The following is a 24,904-nucleotide window of genomic DNA, read 5'->3' on the forward strand; positions in this document are numbered from 1 at the left end:
AGACACAAAAAACCATTCAAAAAATTAAGGAATCCAGGAGCTGGTTTTTTGAAAGGATCAACAAAATTGATAAACTGCTAGCAAGACTAATAAAGGCCTTTGACAAAATTCAACAATGCTTCATGCTAAAAACTCTCAATAAATTAGGTATTGATGGGACGTATTTCAAAATAATGAGAGCTATCTATGACAAACCCACAGCCAATATCATACTGAATGGGCAAAAACTGGAAGCATTCCCTTTGAAAACTGGCACAAGACAGGGATGCCCTCTCTCACCACTCCTATTCAACATAGTGTTGAAAGTTCTGGCCAGGGCAATCAGGCAGGAGAAGAAAATAAAGGGTATTCAATTAGGAAAACAGGAAGTCAAATTGTCCCTGTTTGCAGATGACATGATTGTATATCTAGAGAACCCCATTGTCTCAGCCGAAAATCTCCTTAAGCTGATAAACAACTTCAGCAAAGTGTCAGGATACAAAATCAATGTACAAAAATCACAAGCATTCTTCTACACCAACAACAGACAAACAGAGAGCCAAATCATGAGTGAACTCCCATTCACAATTGCTTCAAAGAGAATAAAATACCTAGGAATCCAACTTACAAGGGACGTGAAGGACCTCTTCAAGGAGAACTACAAACCACTGCTCAAGGAAATAAAAGAGGATACAAACAAATGGAAGAACATTCCATGCTCATGGGTAGGAAGAATCAATATCGTGAAAATGGCCATACTTCCCAAGGTAATTTACAGATTCAATGCCATCCCCATCAAGCTACCAATGCCTTTCTTCACAGAATTAGAAAAAACTACTTTAAAGTTCATATGGAACCAAAAAAGGGCCCACATCACCAAGTCAATCCTAAGCCAAAAGAACAAAGCTGGAGGCATCACACTACCTGATTTCAAACTATACTACAAGGCTACAGTAACCAAAACAGCATGGTACTGGTACCAAAACAGAGATATAGATCAATGGAACAGAACAGAGCCCTCAGAAATAACGCCACATATCTACAACTATCTGATCTTTGACAAACCTGAGAAAAACAAGCAATGGGGAAAGGATTCCCTATTTAATAAATGGTGCTGGGAAAACTGGCTAGCCATATGTAGAAAGCTGAAACTGGATCCCTTCCTTATACCTTATACCAAAATCAATTCAAGATGGATTAAAGACTTAAACGTTAGACCTAAAACCATAAAAACCCTAGAAGAAAACCTAGGCTTTACCATTCAGGACATACGCATGAGCAAGGACTTCATGTCTAAAACACCAAAAGCAATGGCAACAAAAGCCAAAATTGACAAATGGGATCTAATTAAACTAAAGAACTTCTGCACAGCAAAAGAAACTACCATCAGAGTGAACAGGCAACCTACAAAATGGGAGAAAATTTTCGCAACCTACTCATCTGACAAAGGGTAATATCCAGAATCTACAATGAACTCAAACAAATTTACAAGAAACAAACAAACAACCCCATCAAAAAGTGGGCGAAGGATATGAACAGACACTTCTCAAAAGAAGACATTTATGCAGCCAAAAAACACATGAAAAAATGCTCACCATCACTGGCCATCAGAGAAATGCAAATCAAAACCACAATGAGATACCATCTCACACCAGTTATAATGGCGATCATTAAAAAGTCAGGAAACAACAGGTGCTGGAGAGGATGTGGAGAAATAGGAACACTTTTACACTGTTGGTGGGACTGTAAACTAGTTCAACCATTGTGGAAGTCAGTGTGGCGATTCCTCAGGGATCTAGAACTAGAAATGCCATTTGACCCAGCCATCCCATTACTGGGTATATACCTAAAGGAGTATAAATAATGCTGCTATAAAGACACATGCACACGTATGTTTATTGTGGCATTATTCACAATAGCAAAGACTTGGAACCAACCCAAATGTCCAACAACGATAGACTGGATTAAGAAAATGTGGCACATATACACCATGGAATATTATGCAGCCATAAAAAATGATGAGTTCATGTCCTTTATAGGGACATGGATGAAATTGGAAATCATCATTCTCAGTAAACTATGGCAAGAACAAAAAACCAAAGACCACATATTCTCACTCATAGGTGGAAACTGAACAATGAGAACACATGGACACAGGAAGGGGAACATCACACTCTGGGGACCGTTGTGGGGTGGGGGTAGGGAGGAGGGATAGCATTGGGAGATATACCTAATGCTAGATGACGAGTTAGTGGGTGCAGTGCACCAGCATGGCACATGTATACATATGTAACTAACCTGCGCATTGTGCACATGTACCCTAAAACTTAAAGTATAATAATAATTAAAAAAAGACAATTTTTTCCTCATTTGACTTTGCTTATAATGTTGTTTATTATGCGGACATTTAAAATTTATGTTGAATTTATTCAGTGTTTTTAATGACTTCTGAATTTTGTGTCATATTGAGAAAGGCATTTCCTACTCTGAAATTATAAAAGAATCATCTCATGTTTTCTTTTATTACCTTTATGGTTTCATTTTTTAGTCTTTGACACTATAACCATGCCTTACAATCCACACCAGGATAATTCCAAAACTGAATCAATAACTTAAAGATTGTTTCTATAGTTGTAAAAAATCTAAAATTTTTTTTAAAAATCAGTTTTCCTTGAGACTCATTCTTCTCTACTCCTCCCAGATAATCTCAAATTTTTCTATTTTTGTTTATTTATTTCATCATTTGTTTCATCTCTCCATTTCCTTCTTGAAAGGGTTCTCTTCTACTTTTCCTCCATATCTAGAATATTCTTCCAACCTTTTAAACTCGTTTTTTTTCCCCCATTTTCCTTTGGCTCCTTTCCTCTTGTCTCTTCATCTGCTGTTGCCACTATGTTTCTTACTTTGTTTTAGTAATTTCTCACTTCTCGTGCATGCCTTTTGGCATAATTTTTGCAATGGTTATTATTTTTCCCCACAACTTCCCCAAATCCTACCATGTCATATTTTATCATTTTTTGATATTTCCCCATTTCTTCATTCATGGATGTCATTTATCATTAAGTTTTTCATTTTTTAAAAAATATTTGGTCACTCTTTCCAGTGTTCCAGTAAGTCTTATAATGAGAGATCTTCTCCTGTTGTTTTACTTTTGTGCTTATTTTTTAAAAACTTAATATTTTTGTATAGTTTCTGAGTTCTTATTTATTACTTATTATCAAAAGAGTTTAATTTTATCATGAATAGCTATCTATGGAAAGTTCATAGGGGTAGGGGCTGTGGTCCAGGTTAGCTGATTTTTTTTTTTTTTTTTAATATTTGGTCAGCAACTTTATTTCACCAAAGCCAGTGGAGAAAGGAGTATTTTTTGTTTTGATTTTTTATTTGAGGGCTGGGGAGTAGTGAAAAGGAAGACTGCTTATAGTAAATATGCCTTCTCTGTGTATGATTCCTTGTATAATTGTCGCTATTTCTTTTTGGGAAACAAACAAACTGGGTTTATTTGAGCCAGCTGATCAATGCTTCCTGTTTCAAACAAGTGTTGGCACCTCAGGTGGTGTCCCTTGCCTTGAAGAAGGGTAGTTTTGCTGGTGTTTGCTGATGTCTGCAGCTTCAGGAAGCTCTCTCTGCAGCCTTTTATCTCCTCTTCCTCCCACTCCACTTCTTCTGTTTTAGATAACTTTCCACGTATATTTGGTCTCTGTCATTTTTTATTGTCTCCTGGTTTAGCTGAAATGAAATTTACATTTTTGTTTCTTATTTTCCCAGTTGCTTTTTAAACAATTTTCAATATAAGGGAGAAATACTGACTTTCACCCTGCCAAGTTCAAACAAGAAATCAGCCTGTTTTTTTTTAAGCTGCCTAAAGGTAATGCATATTTATTTTTAAATGTCAGATAGTATGAAGAAAATTTTCATGATCTTCTCTTGCCTTATTCTAAACAGAAATATAGGCTTCATTGTATATATAAAGTTTGTGATATTCATATTGCTCAGATTTTTTTTTCTTTTAACTATGTATAATGAGCATCCCCTCTGTATTGGTGAAAGTTGATCTAATTCTTTATAATATCTGCATGATATTCCAGGGAATAGGTGTACCACATTTAATGTAATCATTCTCTATTGAAGACTTTCAGATTATTTCCAGGTATTTGCAACTATAAAATGTGGGGTAGTAAACATTGATTACACATTCCTTTACACTCATGTGCTTTGTTTTTCTAAGTTCACTTTTCCAAAATTAGTATTGCTGGATCAATGGTATTTAATTTAAATACATTACAGTCTACTTTTTGAAAAGTTGCATCAGTTCATCTCTCTACTGAATGAAGGAGCTAATTTCCCTACATCTTTGCTACCTTTGGAATGACCAATATTATTGCATTTTACTAATTCAGGGTGGAAATGTGTTATGCCATCAATAGGTTAACATGAAGAATAAAAATAATATATCTTTTTAATATCCTTTGTCAATTTTTAATTGCCATTTTTTGTTATTTTGTAGAGATTCTTTTAAATTTTAGGACTACTAACCATTTTTCTTATGTTACACATACCTTTTCTGTTTTTTTTCTTTTGACTTTATTTATAATGACTTTGACTTTGTTGACTTTATGATATCTTTAGTTATAGTACTTCAAATTTTTATATAGACAAATACATCTCTCTTTGTATTTATGGATTTTCCGTCTTCCTCTAGAAAGCTTCTTCTATCCTAAAGTTATAAAAAGTTAATAAAATAATTCTATTTTCATTATTTTTAAAAATTTATATCTTTAATCTGCTTTACATGTGAAGAGAGATCATTATCCTGGCTCTAGGAGTAATGACAATAGGGTGAGGGTTTAGAATGTAAAGTAACTGGGTACATTCTTACCTAGCCCAAGTGAAAACTGGTGAGAACCTGAAATCAGGCGAGGTTGTGGGATGGAGATGAGTAGGGATGGCATACTGAAACAATAGAGGTGGAATTTAAGAATTGAAGGCTGACTTCCTGTGTGTGATTGAGTGAAAGGAAGGAAAGTAAGGTCATCTTGGATATTGGATGGCAGCAGTTGCTACTCCCTAAGGCAGAGGCCTTAGGGGTTAAGCACATATGGGTTCAGTGTGGACTAAGTTGGGGACTGAGAAGATAATCTTACATAAGTGCATTGCTAGAAATTTAGATTTTCTATTAATCTATGTAAGTTATGTAAATTAAATTTAGCCTAACTCTTGCCTAGTGAGCAAACAGACTGTTTCAGAGTGTGAATTTTTTTCTATTAAGTTAAAGAAGTGCATTGTATCATGATCTGAAAGTTGAATAATCAAATGTGAAGAGTGATCATTTGACTAGCCTTAAAAGTAAGTTTTAAGTTGTAAAATTAATATAATGATATTATAGAGAACTTGGAAAATGTAAGAAAAGCCACTCATGAATGACTGCTCTTAAGCATCCACCACTTCATAATAACCTACTTCCTGCTTCGGTTTTTGGAATGGAGGGCATAGATAACTTTCTGTAGCACTTCCAATAAAATGCTTCTCACATAATGTCTCATGGGTGCTCAGATAAATAAATGTGGTCAGCACGCTGCTTTTCTTTTTGTCACCTGGCAAAACTTTAAAGGGACACATCCCCTTTGTGTTTTAAGAGGTTCTTGCAAGCCAAGTATGGTAAGAGTTTGTTTTGGTTCCTATCTCAGCTGATGTTATCAAACTTGACCAAGTGGGTTGTATGGCCTTATAAATAAAACCCAAAACTCTTTTATAGATGGTTTTATGTCTTCTAGATTTTTGTAAATTGTGCAGTTTACATAAGGCCTGAGGCTGAACTATATGTTTTTATTTTTTGGCCTTTTCAGATTGGAAGGATTTACCCACCTTTGCATTAATTACACTAAGATCTGCAATTATCCTGTGCTCATCCCCAGGTTTTTTGGAAGTTTTCCAAGTCTTTAAATATAATTTTCTTTCTGATTCTTGAAGCATAATAGGAACCTGAGTAATTGTTAGTTTGTTCACCAGTTGATGCTAATGGAGTAGCCATTAAGTATTATTTCAAGCCCTTTATATAAAATGGAAATTTTTAGTAGCTGGTATTGTACCACCTCTTGTTTTATGGTCTCTGCAGCTATAAATTAATGTGAAATCAATTATAATTCAATAGGGACCAGTTTTCAGGCTGTTTCCTATAACATGATAATAACATTTATTTTCATTAAGAAAGCAATCCATGTTCATTGTGAGAAAATTGGAACAATCAATAACTAAAAATTATAAGACATCCTATTGCCCAGAGATTAGCACTGTGAACATTTGGCATGATTAGTTAATTATTTTAAGTGGAAATCACACACACACACACACACACACACACACACACGCATGCACACATACATTGTTTAGAAAAACAAAAAATTGAGGCAATTTAATATAGTTTTTTAATCTATAATTTTTATTTATAAATATGCTTTGAACATTTTTATGTCAGTGCTGTATCCACTTCATAGCAGTATGGTATTCTATCTTAGAGCTATATAATAGCAAATTTAATCAATGTTTTATTATTAGATATTTTAGTAACTTGAACAATTTTGCTATTGTAAATAACACTAAAATGAATATCGTCATATATATCCTTGATAATTTTTGTTTATTCAAATAATGTTTATTTTAAAAGGAAGAGAAAATATGTGCAAAAGCAAATTTTTAAAAATTGCATCATACGAAATTTTATCACTCAAAGATAACTGTTGGTAATTTTTTTGTGATTTTCTTTCAGTATATTTCTATCTATTTATACAAGATTGTACTATTCATACTATATTATTTTACTTCTTATTGAGCCATGACATGCATGTAAATGCATAAATCATAAGTATATAGTGAAATTAATTTTCACAAATTGAACACATCAATGTAACCAGCACCCAGATAAAGAAATGTCACCACTTCCCAAGCCTGGCCCCATCTAGCCACTGCCTTCCAGAGGGTAACCACTACACTGCTTCTAACATTCTAAACTAGTTTTGCCTGATTTTGAACTTTATACAATTGGGATCATCCATCTGACTTACTTTGCTCAATACAATATACCTATACCGTTATATGTTATTGAAGTTTGTCTGTGTTTATTGCTGTGTAGTGTTCCCGTGGGTGAATATACCATAGTTTGTTTTTCTCTTGATGGACACTTGCATAGACGGTTCATTTGGATCTATTTTAATAGTGTTGCTGTATACTTTCTTGTATTATTGTATTATTTTGGTAAACTATATGCTGCATTTTTCCTCTGACTTTTTACCTTAATATGTCATAAACGCCTTTCTTTTAAATACATTTTATTGACATAAAATATTGTATTGTGTGATTGTACCACAACTTAACCTGTCCTGCTTTTGGACTTTCAGTTTATTTACAGTATTTTTCTGTAATAGACAACACTGAGATGAACATCCTGGTACATAAGTCTTTGCACATTTTTTCATTTTCTTGAAGAAGATTCTTACGCAGATTGAAATGGCTGGCTCAGTATTTAAGGATGTTTGATAATTACTGCCAGATTGCCATCTAAACATTTATACTTACTTATAGCCCCTCTACAAATGTATATAAGTACCTGTGTTCCCAGAATCTTATTAAATGAAAAATTGCAACTTAGTGTAATTAGCAGCATTTGGTTATTAATGATATGTGATATTTTATTAAACTGTGTTGGACATAGATGGTAAATTGCTTTTTCTCTTTAACTTTGTCATTTTATCTTTTAGACAGTTCTATATTTTTCTTGTATTTTATGAGGGTGCTTAATATATTAGGATAATTATCTTTCCTGGTTTTCCCTAGATTTTTGCTTGCATTTTTTTTTTCTTTTTTTTTTGAGGCGGAGTCTCACTCCGTCGCCCAGGCTGAAGTGCAGTGGCGCGATCTCGGCTTACTGCAACCTTCGCCTCCCGGGTTCGAGCGATTCTCCTGCCTAAGCATCCTGAGTAGCTGGGACTACAGGTGCCTGCCACCACGCTCGGCTAATTTTTGTATTTTTATTAGAGACGGGGTTTCACCATATTGGCCAGGCTGGTCTTGGACTCCTGACCTCAAGTGATCCACCCACCTCGGCCTCCCAAAGTTCTGGAATTACAAGTGTGAGCCACTGTGCCCGGCCAATTGTTGCTTGCCTTTTAATTTTATCCATATATATATTTTTTTTTCGCTATGTGAAACTTTTTTTGCGGTAAACATTTGGGTGTTACTTTTAGTTTATTTCTTAACTTCTACTGAATCTCAATTCCTTTATGAGAAGAACTAATATTGTAAAGATGGCAGTTCTTTCCCAAATCAATTGACAAATTAATCAATAAGAAAATTCATTTGGGTTTTTACTTCTACCTTAGTAAAATGATTTTAAAGTTCACCTGGGGACATAAATGGGCAATGTCAAAAAGTCAGACAGTTTTGAAAAATAAAAATGATGAGAGATGATTTGCAATACTAGGTTTTAAAGTATGTTCCTGACCTGAGATCAGGTACTAAGTCACCAGCTTAGAACAGGTCAGGCCAGAAAGTCCTGAGAAAAACTCGTGTGTGTGTGTGTGGTGTGTGTGTGTGTGTGTGTGCGCGTGCACGTACGCATATACATGCCTATGTATCTCATCCATGGATCATCCAAGTCAGATAGATTGGTCAATAAATGGTGTTAGGACAGTTGGCCAACCACAGCCAGCTCTGTGAGAATTCTAAGGAGCATGTGTCAGTGACTTAGAGAAACTAAAGTGATAAATGGAAACAAAAAACAAAATGGAAAATGTATTTCAGTAATAAAAGGATATTTGGTGCTATTCTCAGGCAGGAGAGAAATAGAACACCAAGACTAACATCTACTCACTGAATATCAAATATCAAATTGCCAGGACAGAGGCTCTGACATTTTGCATAAGTTGGGTGGCACGCCTGGTCCAGTCAGCTGTGCCCCAGTGGTGTGACCCTGTCTGCTCTGGGCCCACCCCTGTGCATCGGTCAGGGGTGAATTTCAGAGAAGGGGCCAGTTCATGGTAGGGTAACACCCTTGAAGGTGAAAGAATGAAGATCAGTGAGCCATACAGCCTAAGCACCACTTGCTGCAAAGAACAGTCACAGTGAAAGCACATCTCTCATTATTAGTGTTGTTGTTTTTGTCCTTTGCAGGCCAAGTTCATTTTATCCCCCATGCCTTAAATGTGAGAGTCTTAACATTTAGGTTTCTCTATAGTTGTAAGAAATTTCTTTTCAGTTCTAACCTAAACCCACCATGGTCAAAGTGCAAAGCCCCAGCAATAATTACCCTTTATCACTCTTAGGAATTTATAGTTTTATTTTTCTCTTTATATCAGGTGCATTATCACACAGACAAAAATGTACTGTGGGTTTGTGAAAATCCCATTTAAGCATTTGTCCTTGACCCTTCTAGGTACTTTAATAGAATATCACTTACGTACACATTGACCTTTTATAATGAATCTTCCATTATGTACTAAGTATTCTTGTAATTTCTCTGTTTTTGTTTTTTTTTTCATTTGCAAGGGTTGTATTAACCAGTACCTGTAGACACATCTGTGTCCTTCCTCATGTTAGTTATTTTAGCCAGGAATAACATAGACAATTCTGCCTTTGTTTTGGTCTCCTAGCTTTAAAGTTGCATCCATCATCAGCTTCTTCTGAAGCTCATCTAACTCTGTTGCTTCTTATGATAATTAAATTTGAAAAATAGCTAAATCAATTCAGTAATTATGTTGGAATAGCTACTGGAGTTTGTCATCATTGCTTTGACTTAGTGTAGAGTTTACCAGATAGTCATTTCTTTGGATGTGAAAAGGTAGATGTTATCAAAGAAAGAGGTTTCTGCAGACATATATGTTTGAGAAACACAGAGTTAAGCAAAGGCAAATTGATTCTGATAGACTTCCCAGAAGCTCCAAGAAGCTAATATGTCTTGTGTAAGCCCCATGAAGGCAATACAATTAGAAGCATTTCTCATATTTATTTCACCTTAGAGTCCCTTTCTCAAACTGCTTGTGGGAACAATAACCTGAGAAACACACTTTAGGGAAGTGGTGATATAATTAAATATTGACATACTAATTTTCTCATTAGTAAATTTAAAAACATATCCTCTCTGTTGTCATGTTGGTTGGCTATAAACCAGAGAAATCAAGGGGTAGGGGCACCGGTCTGGAAGTTAGGAGCACCTGAACTGGCTATGTGTCTTTGGGAAACTGCTTCTCTCTCCTGGGACTGATTGCATTTTCTCATCCTTAAATGAGATTGTCATACCTATGTGACCTCTTATTCATGGACACGAGCCTTCTCCAGCTCTAGGATGCTATTTCATTTGTCGCACAGGGACTCTGACTGTGTTTGTTGTAGAAAAAGGAAGAAGCTTTTACCAATTTAAAGAAAGTTTTCTCAGTCTCTGACTTGTCCATTTGGAGCTATTTTATTTATTTCTTTACAAAAACAAGTCCTGATCTTTTTTTTTTTTTTTTTTTAGGTTTGATATGATCAAAGCTGTCACTTCAGTCTTTCACTAACTGGGCTCCTTAGAATCTCATTTAGAATTCTCAGAAACCAAAAGCCAGTGAAATAAAGTCAAAGGAACAGAAATGTCACCTTCCAGGAAACTCCAAAATGCCATTAACACCTTTAATGAGGCTTTTTAAAGGAAGAATCAGTCTGCATTTTCAGTGGGCCCTCTAGTCTGTCTCTTTATGCTCATCAGGAAGCTAGAAGATGGCAGCCCATGAGCTTCTTCCCTTGCCTTTGCAGTCTGTGGGTAGGATGTTACTTCTAATTGACTTAACTGAAACCTAGTGCAAGTACATTAGGTTTCTTCCTGCCCTCAACCCTAACACCACTTGGGCAAAGTGGACTGACAATTTACTTTTGAGAAATAGCATTAATGGAGTGAAAAATAAAATTTTTTAAAAAAATAGTTGGAATTCCTGTTGTGATTTGTTGGTTAAATCTTGAGATTGGTTCGCATTATGCAGTCATAAGGTTTTAAATCATCTAGCAAAAGATTTCTGGGGATTGAGCTGTTCCTTTCTCTATGTTTACTACCATTATTTGGAAATGAAAAGGGCAGATAACCTTCTTTTAAATAGCAACCATGCTTGGGGTCTCCTATTCTTAATCATTACAGGCTAGAAAAAGGGGGCAGGGAACTCTGGACATCAGATTTTAAAACCTGAGGTTTTAAAACTAGAAAGCATTTACATGATATTAAGGCAGGGACTCTGAGTCAGACCAAGACACAGTCAAATCCCAGGTTGCCATTGTCTTAGACATAATATATATTGACCTGTTTTCTCATTTGTAAATGGTGGTGGTAGTGACTGTCAATAGGATTTTATGGGAATGTATAAATTTACATATACATTTATAAATGTAGTTTATATGTATGTATAAACTAGAGCATCTGGAACATAGTAGATATCCAGTCAAATAGTGATCTATTATAATCATTATTGTTATTTTTATTGTAAATAATAAGCATATTCCTTGAACAATGCTTTAAGTATTTGCTTTAGTTATGATTTTTATAGATTATATTATTTTTATTTAGTTTTAGGTTTATTTTATGCTTATGAAAGATACCTTAAGGACAATAGTATGCATGACTTCAACCTTTTAATAACAAGGTGAAGCAGCAGCAGCAATACTGTGTCTCTCTAATGAGATGGAATATTACTGATAGCTCTGAAGCCCCTATGTGATTATTCCCAATGAAATCCTCTCTCCTCTCCTTAGAAGTACCACATTCCACTTTGGTTTTACCACACTTATTCCTAGACAATAATTTTTTGACATTCTATGTTTTTGACCCTTATGATCTAAAAAAAAATAATACTTGTATGCATGCTGTACATGTATTCTGTACATGTGGTGTGCTTCTCTGTCTCAACATTATGTTAAGATTTATCCCTGTTGATGAATGTACCTATTGTATGTTCTTTGCCACTGTGGTAGAATATTCTATTGTATAAAACAAATATGCCCTATTTTTTAAATCATTCCTCCTATTTATGGATGTTTAGTGTTTTTCCAGTCTTATTTATTTATTTATTTATTTTTTGCTATTTTGAATGTGACTATTGTTACTATTCTTCTGTTAGGTTAACTATGTGAAATCGCCATTTTTATAGGTCAATGATCCAAACTAAAAATTTCATATGATACAACCCAATTGATGTCTGGTGTATATTTTTAAGATTATATCTGAAGCATATACCTAAGTGTGGCAGAAATGCTGATTTATAGGGTATATAAATTTTCAACTTTTAAAATGAAACATGATTGTATTACAAAGAGATTACACCAATTTATACCCCCAAATGAAAACTGTCATTGTCCCACTTCCCACCAACATTTGATATAAATTTTCATTTTGGTGGATGTAAAATATAGTTTTAATTTGCAGTTCTGTAATTACCATTGAAATTAAGCATTATTCCATATGCTTATTTGCCATTTCTATTTTTTGAGATGGAGTCTCGCTTTGTCACCCAGGCTGGAGTGCACTGGCGCGATCTCAGCTCACTGCAACCTCTGCCTCCCAGGTTCAAACGATTCTCCTGCCTCAGCCTCCCAAGTAGCTGGGACTACAGGCGACGCTCACCATGCCCAGCTAATTTTTGGATCTGTAGTAGAGACAGGGTTTCACCATGTTGGCCAGGCTGGTCTTGAAGTCCTGATGTCAGGTGATCTGCCCACTTCGGCCTCCCAAAGTGCCGGGATTACAGGCTTGAGCCACTGTGCCCAGCCAACAATTATTTTTAAAAATAGAGTTTCCCATAATTTTTAGGTATGTACTGCTTAGAGGTGTTTCCCTACAATATCATCTTTGCTGCTGCTGAGAAAATGGCAAAATAAGATTATTTATGTTTTTATCCTTTTGAAGAAGAGAACTTATTGATTTTTAGTTTGTATTTCATAGTCATATGGTTAAAACTTTAAGGGATATATTATACATAGGATTTTTTTAAAGTATTATAATTTTTTTTATAAATTAACATATTTTTATTTTTATAAAATAATTATTTTGTTTGTATTATTTTGCAGTTACATATAATACTTAACATTTAGAACTTCAAAGCACAAAAGTTTAGAACTTTTAGATATTGCCTTTTGGCATTTTGCAGAAATCCATACTAAGTCTTATGTATGGTTCACTTTGTTATAAAGAATTTTTTTTTCTTAATTTAAGAATTGGGATGATGAAACTGGCAAATGACCCATTATTTTCTCTTTTTCTCTGTGGCCTTGGTGAGGTCATTTGTAAATATTTGCTGAGTCTGAGTCAAGAGAAAGATACTACCTTACATAAACACTTACATATAAACACTATATTTAACTCTATTTTAATAACAAAATAGGTTGATTTTGTCCATGTAGAGATTTTATCTTGCTTGTATCATTTTGGTTTCCCAGGTCTTGTTTCATCATCTGTGTTGAGTAACCATGGGGAGGAAGCTGGACCTGTCTGGTTTGACTGATGATGAAACAGAGCATGTTCTTCAGGTGGTTCAAAGAGACTTCAATCTTCGCAAAAAAGAAGAAGAACGACTAAGGTGAGATGCCTGTTTTGCTCAGCAGCGTACAGCAAACCACATGTGGACAAGCGTAACAGGTTTCCTGAGGGTATTCCCTCCTGCTAGCCCTGAGTTTGGATATACACTTATGTTTGTCAGAATGTCCTGTCCTTTGTAGAAAGGTTTGCCAGTTTCAGAAATGTCAGTTCAGAAATGTGTTGCTCACGGTCCCAATCAGGGTTTTGTTGGGACTTCTGACCCTGTATGTCATTACTAGCTATAGAATGAGTGGAGCTTGTGGTGAACACGCTGCCTTGAGCTTCCTCTTGGCCTTAGTTTTTTGTTGGCAGGTCTTATTGAAGGATAACCAAAGTGTTAAGTGAACAGTTCTTGTGAGAATGAGTCTCATGCATGTACAATGTTCTGTTTAAACTCTCAGCTACTGTAGCACAGGAAAAGAGCTTTGAAGATCAGATACAAGGAAACTGACCACCAGGCTGGGATGGGATCACCTGGCTTAGCACCACTTCCCTCATTTTATAGAAGAGGAAACTGAAGCCTGAAGAGGTAGTCTCCTGACTCCTCTGCAGTTGATATTTCCCCATGAAAGGCTCTTGGAAATACTATGGCAGGTCAGTTCCAACTATGCCTAAGTTGGAAGAAGTCAGAGTGATAGAAATGAGGTCATGTGTTAGGCCTAATGTATTGAAACTGATGGTAGGTCAGTATTAGTCTCCCTCATCTATAAAACCTATTATTCCTTGGGATTCCATGGGTTTATTCACAGCACCATCTTCTTCCTTAGACACTAAGCAAAAACCTGTTTTGCTCACTTTGATTATCCAACAGCTAGAACAGTGCCCAGCACAGTTTTAAATCAATTAATTATTAATAGATTTCTTGTCTTTCATCAAACAAGTATATATTTAATATATACTATATGTGAGACCAAAAAATGGTGGAAATAAAGATTACACTAAGGTGCTTATAGCCTAGCAAGGGACATAACATTGCCAAGAAGTATAAAGTCTGAGGTACTCCGAGATAGAAGGAAAACAATCCCTTTTTGGTGGTAGGAAAGATTTACCAGTTTTAAGCTGAGTGAGAAAGGGCATGAGTAGAGCTTTGGCATAATCCTGAATTTCCATATTTACATATAGAATATAAAAGAGAACAGAGTCAAGGACGTCCCCAAGGTTTTTTGGCATAGGAAACTGAAGAATGAAGTTGTCATTCACTGAATATAAAGACAGAGGAGCAGGGTATTTTGTAGCCAGGTAAAGTTGAGAGCTCTGTCTCAGGCATCTTCAATTTGAGATGAATATTGGACATCCAAAGGAGATGCCAACTTGGCATTTATGTATTTGCAACTAGGAATCAAGTGGGAGGTCCAAGTTGGAAATTAAAATGTCATGGAAAAGGTCACCAGAACAATAGGAGAGTAGATGGAGCAGGGAAACTAGTACAGTTGCTTGGCAGCGCTAAGACCAACTTGAAGTTTGTGGTCACTATTTTACATTGAGACCAGTTTCTACATGGTAGTGTTTTCCCTGTATCTTTCAGCCTCTTTCCTCTACTGAACCATTGGAAAGAACCATGTCTTGATCAGTTTTGTGCCCCAATCTCTGGACACAGGGCCTGGCACACCGTGGGTGTGCCCTAAACCTCTGTGGAATGGATGGATACATGTAGATTGATTGTCAATCCATATGACTAACTTCATGTGTGGTTTGAAGAATCCACCTTAATATTTCCTTTAAATCATAAAGACCATCTGTGTGTCATGCTTCATCTCCTGGAAACTCACATATGGATAAGCCAAGACCTTGTTTAATGTCCTTTTCTGACTGTGGAGACTTGCCTTAGCTCCATTGCAGAGTCAGGTGCCAGTCCATGTGGAAGAGCAGCTTTAGGGCTTGGTTTGAGGAGGAAAATTTTAAAGAAAGAGCAGCTGTCACTGTAGTAGACCCAACAAAATGGGCACCGTCTATCTCATGAGGACAGGTAGTCTTAGTGGACAGCAGTCAGTAGCCTACTGCAATTCTGTGAAAATGCATGGTTATGGGAACCTGCTTATAATGGAGAAAATGATGCTTGAAATCACCAGTGGCCAAAGAGGAATGACTGCTTGCCATGGCAGCTCTTGTGGCACTGGAACTGGACATTTTTTCTCTGAAGACAGTTGTTACTATTGTCCTCTGCCCATGACCAGTGACATGCCTTGATAGCTACCTAGCAAACTGAGGTGACATTCTGAATGATTCCAGCAAAGAATATTACTGTCGAATAAAAAGATTATGACACTGCAAAACCACTGAAATTGCCAAACATTTGCCTCACCTTTTTATATTGCTTGAATTTTGGGTATGTGAAAGAATCTAGGAGGTAGTATTATTGAACTGAACTTTGAAAGTATTTTAGAATTATAGAAAGTATTTTCCTTTAATGAATGTATAACTCATAATAGAAGACTTTTTTAAATTTTACAATCTTGAATTAGTTTCCTTTTCCCCCGACCAGCTGTTCTTTATTTACCTAGTTTCTCTGGCTAGGTTTTGTGAGGTTAGGTCTTGAGTGTAGTAGAGCTTATCCAGTGTTTATAATGATCTGTTCTTCAGTTCAGACGTTAAGTGTAATAGTAAATAGGAGGTGGGAGTGTGAATTAAGTGTCCTCAGAACACATCATGGTAATGTAAAGAGGGATAATGGGGATGAAGAATTCATGGAAAGAGAACTAAAATGTATAAAGCAGTCAGCTTGAACTGGCACTGCCCTGGGTACTGCACAATTTATCTTATTGATTCCTCACTAAAGTCACTATAATGTTAGCACCAGCTTACATGGAGGCATCCAAGAACAGAGAGATTACAAAGCTTGCTCAGAATCACACAGTTAATTGGAGTAGGGCCAGTATTTTGTTTTCCAGATTCTCTCCATTACGTAGACTGGGTTAAACCATTTCAAAACTGTTTTACTCTCCCTCCCTCCTTAAAATAATTCCTTAGTATCATCTAATGTCCAGTAAATTTATCCAACTATCTTTTTTCTACAATGTGTTCAAATCAGAATCCAAACAAGGTCCACTCATTAGTCTGGTTGTTTTGAATCTTAAACCGCTTAATTTTGTCATTATTTCTGAGATAATTCAGAAGGCAAGCATGGTATTTGGTGTCTCTGATAATATTTTACTTTTTTAGTTTGTCATTTTATGGTTAGGCTGATTAGACTTGGAGCTTAGTTTTGTTGTAATTTTCTCCCCCTTTAATATGGTCCTTTGATAACAATTTAGATCTTTTCCAAATTCTGCTATTTAAATTTTTTAAAAATTCATAGCTAAGTGTTTTTCTTTGTTTGTTGTTTGTTTGTTTGTTTGTTTGGAGACAGAGTCTCACTCTGTTGCCCAGGTTGGAGTGCAGTGGCACGATGCAACCTCTGTCTCCCGGGTTCAAGAAATTCTCCTGCCTCGACCTCTTGAGTAGCTGGGATTACAGGTGCAAGCTCTCACACCTGGCCAATTTTTTGTATGTTAGTAGAGATGAGGTTTCACCATGTTGCCCAGGTGGGTCTCGAACTCCTGAGCTCAGGCAATCTGCCCACCTCGGCCTCCCAAAGTGCTGGGATTACAGCCATGAGCCACTGCGCCTGGTCGTGTTTTTTTTTATTTCCCAAAAGCATGTATTTAGAATGGATGTGATATTGTTACCCATATGGAAGGGGCAATGTGACTGTCCTGGCTCTGGCAGGTAAGTGGAGAAGGACACTGGGGAAAGCTTACAGCCCTCATTCTTTACAGGACTCCTACTATCCCCCACTGTCTGCTACAGCTCACAGTGAGCAGAGGCACATCGTGGTTGGTGTGTAGATATCAGCTGCTGTGTGTAGGTAGTCACAGGCCTCACTATGTAAAGTGATTCTGTCAACCCCATGTCAGTAAGATGAGACACTTTCTCAGCACTGGGGATGTGATGCATTGAATTTTTAATGTCATTAAAGCTATATGTTTATAGCAGGACTGTTGGGGGAAGATAGAGAATTGATAGGCCTGAGAATAGTAGACAGGCAATACCAGATACTGGAGGTGAGGACTTATTTACAAATTCAGTAGAGTAAGTGTTGATTCCATTTCTCCAAGACACACAACAGGATTAACACTATGGATGGAGGATGCTGGAAACAAAAGGCATGGTGACGCCTGCTCCTACCTCCAGGTGCTTTGGGTTTTATCTAGATTACTCAAGTAAATGTGTCAAAAAGTTCATATTGTACTTGGTTAATTTTATTTTCTGTGTTTCTTTTTTATCAGATGATTTCAGGCAAATAGTAAAATTATGCAAATGGTAAAGAAGACCTTATAATGAAAAGCCTAAGTCCTCTGCTCCATATTTAGTTCTTGGTCCTTTAGACCTCCTGGCATGACCTTCATAAATCTAAACATGTGCTTCTGTTGCTATATTTCAATATATCAGTATTAGACATTCTTTCAGTTTTCTGCTCTGAAATTGGGGACTTAGCTCACTTACTTATATTACCCTTGTCTTTTGTTTCTTGATGATTATATTATTATTTTTGGCTTGGTGTTCTACTAGTCATCTTTCAAACTTAAATAATAGATGGAAACCTCTGAGTCTTGTTCTGTCAATGTTTGCCATTCTTTTTCAGTTCTGACAGTGCAACATTCAAATAGTGTCCCTGTCTTTACCTCTTTACCTCCTTCTGCCCTGTGTCCCAGCTTTCCCTATAATAGCTTTACTCTCATACATACAAGGTTGGGGCATTCACCCGCTGTTCCAAAAACATATTTGAGTCTCCTGTTTTGTTCATAGGATGATTCTAACTGTTGTAGCCCTTATATAGTTACGATTGAAAATATTAACATTGTTTACCGCTACCTCTCCATCTTTTTCAGAGCTTTATTGAAGTTAGCAGGTATCTGATTGTTCTTTTCCTTTTCTCTTTACCATTATGAATTAATTGTTTTTATTTCTTTGCTATTATTGGAAAGTGGTCTTGAGAGGGAGCAGAGGCCATTAAGTGTTTGCTTTGTCTGTCATCTGGAATCTAAATTCCACAGTAACTTGCTTACTAGTCAAGGTCATGTGAGGATCCTGGGGAGCGTGCAGAGGTGGAAAGCACTCCCGGTGTGCAGCATATGTGCAGAGCATGCTTTGGGGTCAAACAGATATGGGTATGAGTCCTTCTATCATGATTATCATGATTATGTTGGGCTATTTGACCTCTGAGCCTCAGAGGTCAAAATGAATCCTCTGGGCTTCATTTTGACCCAAAGCCTGGGTCATTGCTGCACATTAACCATGTCCCATTTGTAGGAAAGTTGACATTTCTGGAAACTTCACCCTGACTTTTCCTTCATCTCTGTTGATAGAGCCTCTACGGGTGAGGCACCCCATGATATGGGCTGTGTTCTTTCTGTAACAGCTCTATCCCCAGGTTCTATGATTGCAGGCATTGGTCTTGCCTACTGAGAACATATCTTTTCATGAACTTTCAGGTTTCTACACTTAGCTTTGATTGCCCTCTCTGCTTCTAGTGTTCCTCCATTTAGGAGAGTATGGCTAAACATACTGAGTGCCTAAACAGAATTCAATGGAAATAATAAATTAGCATAACAACACAGTATCTTCAACTTTGTCTATAGCAGTTATGCTTTCCCAGTAATGAAATATATCATCTATGTCATATGACTTTTTCCATACCTTTATTCTCTCAGTTATGTAACTCTTGAGAAATTTTCAAATAGTAGAAAAAAATAACCGGGCACCTATGCCACATTTAAGTCCATGATGTTCAAAAGTCTTACCCAACTACCAGATTTCTACTAGTATTTGAGTGGGAGTGTGGGGCCCTCAGCTGGGATCAGTGTGGTATTTATAGCTGCACCAGGTACTGTTGGACAGCTTTTGGACAAGCATGTTTTTGATGACATTGTTCATGGCAGAAATAAAGTCTTGGAGAAGAGAAGAGGCACTGACTGGAAGAAGAAATGCAAAATACAGCTTCCTAGGCTATCAACAGACTAGCAGGCAGACCATCCAGGTTCAGTGTGATTAGGGGTGGGAGAGGTTAAGACTTGTTTCCCTCTGTTGGACCCCAGTGCTTCCTGTGTGACTCAGATAGAGGAGGCCTGGCATCAATTGGAGTGCATTGGTCTCCCCATGGTAACTCTTGAGTACCGAACTCCTGAGTACCCCATGGACTGTGTCTGCTTGGGTGTTGGGCATTTGGTTTAGTGTTCATCATCAAAGGCCATGTTCCCTCCTCTCCATCTGCCTTTCTGTGTATCTGGCAGACAAAATTTTAAGAACTTTTTCTTCACATCTACAGTGTAGCATATCATGATGTTTCATCAGTATAAATATATAGATAGATTAAATTATTAAAATAAGTAAATAGACTGTCACCTGTGTGGCAGAGATAAACAGTGCTCACCAAATATCTTATGTGCTCATGCATATTCCCAGTGCCTTCTGCAGTTAGATTGCAGCCATGTGATTAGGTCTGGATAATCGACAGTGAGAGGAAGGGCCTGTATTACTTCCAGGTCGGGGCACTTAAGAGCTGGTGTGACTCTACTACCTCTCCCCTCGCCTTCTGTGGTGTCCTTGGAGGCCTTGTGTGGAAACATGGCACCACATGATGGAGAGAGCCTGATCCCTTTGACACTGGATGGAAGAGAGTTTCTGATGATCAGCAGGAGACTTTGTGTGGGTTTATTGGGTTAAGTCATTGAGGCCTTGGGGTTTATTTCTCACAGCGACATAGCCTAGTATTACTCTAAGTAATAGAGTTTTTGAGAGCTAAAAGAGAGCCAAATATTTATTATGCCCCAACCTTTGACTTGTAGATGAAGAAACACGCTCAGAGGGTGCATAGGCAGTTAGTGGTAGAGTCTGGATGCGACCTGAGTTTCCTGATGCCAGGGCTCCGTGTCGTCTGCCATTGGGCCTCTCAGGTAGTAGAAGACACCTGCAGCAAGATATCCAGACCTAAACTGGAATCACAGTTTATGCACTATGATTTTATATCATCAGGAACATTTACAAAGTGGTTTTAAAAATGACTGTTAATTGTACAATCCTCTGGTGTTCAAACTGAGTCTTGGAGTCATTGATGAGATAGCCACAGGCTTTAAAATTTCTCATTTACTATGTGCTTGCCAAAAGCTAGTTAGCATTTGGATAACTTCCAAAGGTTGCTGGTGCTCTAATGGACTTGGTCTGTGGAGTAGCAGGGGTTAGACTGGATGCAATTATTTTCTGTAACTGCGACTGGCGCCTAGGCTGGGCCAGGGGAAGGAAGGGAGAGCAGAGGGCAGTGAGTGTGAGATAGCACTTCCTGCTGTGTCTTTCCCAGGCGCAGCTGCCACAGCCCAGCAGCTATGATGTGTCAGCTCCTCTTCTGGCCTGTGTTAAGGAAGGGGAAATAAACGCTTTTGAGACCTGTTTCTGTTGCCCATAATGGTACCATTACTCACTTGCAGATGTGGCCCACATCTTCCTTGCCACCTCCAGGGGTAATCTTCCACCCCCCCCATTGCTCAGGTCTAAGTGTTCTGAGAAAATAAATAAGAGCTGCCAGGGTTTGTTGGAGACCCACTATGAGGAAGCAAAGCCTTTCTCAAAATCTAGAAATAATTTGTGTTTCTAGTCAGTGACACAGAGACTCCTCTGAGGATTAATCACCATTTCTTAAAGTAGAAAGAACATGGTACTTTAATAAAATGAGTTAGTGATCTTTCTTCATTCAAGATTTATTTTCATTTTAAACAAAAATTTTATTATAAGAACTTAGTAGAAACTCAAAAAGTTTCTATTTCAAACAGTAACATTCCTTTGTTTTTACTGTCTTTTGTTCTGAACACTTAAATTAAGCTAATGAATTAGCAAATACTTCTGCTTATATCCTTCCCTGAAGCTGGAAGACAGATCACCTTGTCTTTAGAAGAAATATGCCTTATGGTTTGTGAAATAACTGTGTGTGCACAGAGTGCATTTGCCTGAGGTCTCCTCATGGCCTTTTGTAGCTCTTTGATATTCTGTACTAACACTTTGGCATTAACCTGCCCAGTTAATGAATCTGCTGTCTCAGTGGGGATGCTCCAAGGTAGTTCCTTCGATGGGATTGGTAGATCAGGTCACCTGGCAGTGCCCTGAAAAATCAGAGTTGAGAGCAGGTGCATTTAATGGTGCAGTGGGAGGCAGGACACAGCTCTGGTTGAGATCACTTTGTGATGGGGGAAGGCCTAGGAGGAGACAGAACTGGGAGACCTGGGGAGAGAGCCTGGAGACTCATGGAGGGCAGGTGCGCAGGCCGCAGAAAGGAGAGTGGAGAGGACTGATCTTAAAGCTAGAAGGTATCTCACAAGATTATTTTTAAAACTCTGTCTTAGTATTGGTATTTTTGTCAATAATGGAAGGCCAATATTAATCCAAAGCTGTTGGGTATTTATTAATTTGCTTCAAAATCATATTTTGAATGTCAGGACCCTTCTGGGCAAATATGAAAGGGGTGAAAGGGCAGTAGGGGACTCACAAATTTAGTAAGGTTATTAGCCCTTGAAGAAGAGTCCAAAAGATGAGCTAAATCCTATATGAATAATTAGGATGCTATAGACAATGAGAAATAAAGATATTAAGGCAGACTCATGGGAATACATCTGTCTTAGAGGAGGGGGCTAGGAAAAGGAAAAGACTTCCTGAAGGAGAGGTGTGTTTGATTTGACCCTTGAAGATGGACTGGATTTTTTAGTGGATTGACACATAGGTCTGAGCAGCAGGGAGCATCCTGGGTAAAGTAATATGGATAGAAAAGGGAACATGTTTTCACAACCCCAAATCAGGACCTGTGGTGGGGCAGGGGAGGAAGAGACTGTTTTGAAGATAATTCTACTTCACTGTTACTAATAGCATTGAATAGAGTGTGGGGTTCCAGGAATATCATCTCCCTTTATCCCAACAATCCTGGGAAAAGCACGTTCTTTTTTTTTGTTTGTTTGTTTTGTTTTGAGACAGAGTCTCACTCTGTCACCCAGGCTGGAGTGCAGTGGTAGATCTCAGCTCACTGCAACCTCTGCTTCCCGGGTTCAAGCGATTCTCCTGCCTTAGCCTCCTGAGTAACTGGGATTACAGGTGTGTGCCACCACACCCCGCTGATTTTTGTATTTTTAGGAGAGATGGGATTTCATCATGTTGGTCAGGCTGGTCTTGAACTCCTGATCTTGTGATCCACCCACCTCTGCCTCCCAAAGTGCTGGGATTACAGGCCTGAGCCACCATGCCCGGCCGCATATTCTTATCTATTTACAAAATGGGAGAACCGAGGCTCTAAAACGGTGTTAAATAATTTGCTCAAGTTGTACAGAGTAAGAAGTGAATTCAAACTCAGGCGGAGCAGCCCTAGAGTGAGACCAGTACCAAGGCAGTACACTGCCCTTGGTACTGAAAACAAGGACATTCAGGTGCCGTGGGATAGAATAGATGAAATTAGGACCATCTTGGAAAATCTGGCACCTGTGCTTGCTAAAACTTGGGATGTGTTCAGGGATGGGAAAGTGGTAGGGTTTAAGTCAGTATATGAGAAGTGTGTAGTTGGGACAATACAGTAGCCAACTAGCCACATGTGGCATTAAGCACTTTGAGTATGTCTTATCCAAATTGGGGTGTAGTCTAAGTGTGAAATAAATGCTAGATTTCAAAGATCAAGTATAAAAAATGTAAAATAGCTCAATAATTTTTATATTGATTACACATTGAAATGTTTCTAAAATTACATCTTAAATATATTTTTAAAGTTAATTTCACTTTTTTTTACTTTTTAAAATGTGGCTACTAGAAAGTTTTAAATTATATATATGGCTCACATTATATTTTTATTGGACAGTGCTGGTCTGAAATGCAAGATTAAGCAGTTTGGGATTTATTAAACCAAAAAGTAAGCTTTCTTTCCCAATTTTGTTTAGGATTATTCCTTTTTTATATGTGGTTTTTAGGTATCTGTAAGAGCCAGCTAAAGTTTTAGCTAATTAGTCAGATATTGGCCTTTGCTATCAAATATTGTTGTCTCTGTCACGTGAAGGTGGTCTCTGAGTCATGCCTCAGTGTTGGGTTTATTACACAGTTTAAAAAAAAGCATACTGTGTCCATGCCATATTCATGACAAAGAGTTTATGCATCTCAGGACAGAATGAACCCTTTCATGTTTCCCTGAAGTTAATGGTTGACCAAATACTTCATGACCTTTGAAATAACACATGGCTTTAGAATGGCCCACTATTCAAAATTTATATCACATCTTTGGCGCCGTAAAGTTATCAGACATTCACCTGTGGGGTCTGCCTTTAGAAATGGTCAGGAGAGTTTGATGTTACAAGTGTGCTTGTAATGTAGAAAAAGGAATCATGCTGATGCTCTTATTTGCTTTTTAACTTGTGGTCCTTCAAAGATGTACAGTTACTAATTTGGAGATTCAAATATGTTCTCCCCATAATCCCACTTTCTTTAATAACAGTTTTCTACTAGGTTGCTTTTATGGCTCCAAGTTCCTGATCTTATTTACTTTTCCACTGCAAATGCCAGAGACTCAGCTTCTGGGCCCTGATAAAGCTTTTGTGGCCTTAATTCTTGGCCTGACCTTCATTTCTTAGACCTCTGGCTGTGGAAAGCATTTCTTTGGCATTACATGTGCATAGAATTCAGGACTTGAAAGGGAGCAAGGAGGAAAGTTTCCACAGCAATTTGAAAAAGTAGCTTTTCTCACTTACAGTAATTCAGGAATGTACAAAATCCTTTAGCCAGAAATGGCCTGAAAACGCAGAGGAGGTAAGCACAATGAACAGCCTGGAAATCAGAGTTTCTTCCTCTCTCTGTGCTGTGCTGGTGGCATGACAACTTACTTGTTCTCACAGGCTCCTTCAGTGCCTGGGGGCAGTTTCCTGCCTCAGGGTTAAAGGGCTGCCTTCCCCTCCTTACTCAGCTTCTGAAGCCAACAGATCCACCTCCTGGTCCGTTTCTGAACCTGATACCTGCAGAAGGAAATTCATCAACAACCTCTCCCTGACTGTCAGGGTGACTTATAATGAGCTTCTTCTCCTTCTCCCAGATGGGGAGATTCCTGTCCTAGCCCAAAGACTTTTTTGGCTGGAAACCAGGTTGCCTTAAATTGCCAGGAGAGCCAGCCTCCCTGGCCTGGTCCCAGCCCTCTGTGCTCACCTTCCCCCTGCTGGTCTGACTTACAGGCTCCCATTTTGTGTCAGCTTCTCCTCTATCGGTGGGTGTGGGCCTAAGACTTAGGACCCCTTCCCTGGCTAATTCTTATACCTCAGGCTGGAAGAGACTAGCTCCTGCATACCCAGCTGGATCTGG

General features: G+C 37.8%; 1 protein-coding gene across 6 annotated transcripts in view; it reads left to right on the forward strand.

Annotated features, from left to right (window-relative positions):
* Nucleotides 1-24,904, forward strand: part of MYRIP (myosin VIIA and Rab interacting protein) — a 451,408-nt gene that overhangs the window by 78,448 nt on the left and 348,056 nt on the right. For all 6 annotated transcript variants that reach the window (NR_104316.2, NM_001284423.2, NM_015460.4 and 3 more), the window contains exon 2: nt 13,426-13,565. Coding sequence is in view for 4 of the 6 variants with exons in the window: in NM_001284423.2 (NP_001271352.1) it covers nt 13,456-13,565 (110 nt within the window). In the remaining 2 variants the exon portion in view is untranslated. The remainder of the gene's footprint in view (nt 1-13,425; nt 13,566-24,904) is intronic.

Source organism: Homo sapiens, chromosome 3 (assembly GCF_000001405.40).
Source record: "Homo sapiens chromosome 3, GRCh38.p14 Primary Assembly".
NCBI classification, from domain to species: Eukaryota; Metazoa; Chordata; class Mammalia; order Primates; family Hominidae; genus Homo; species Homo sapiens.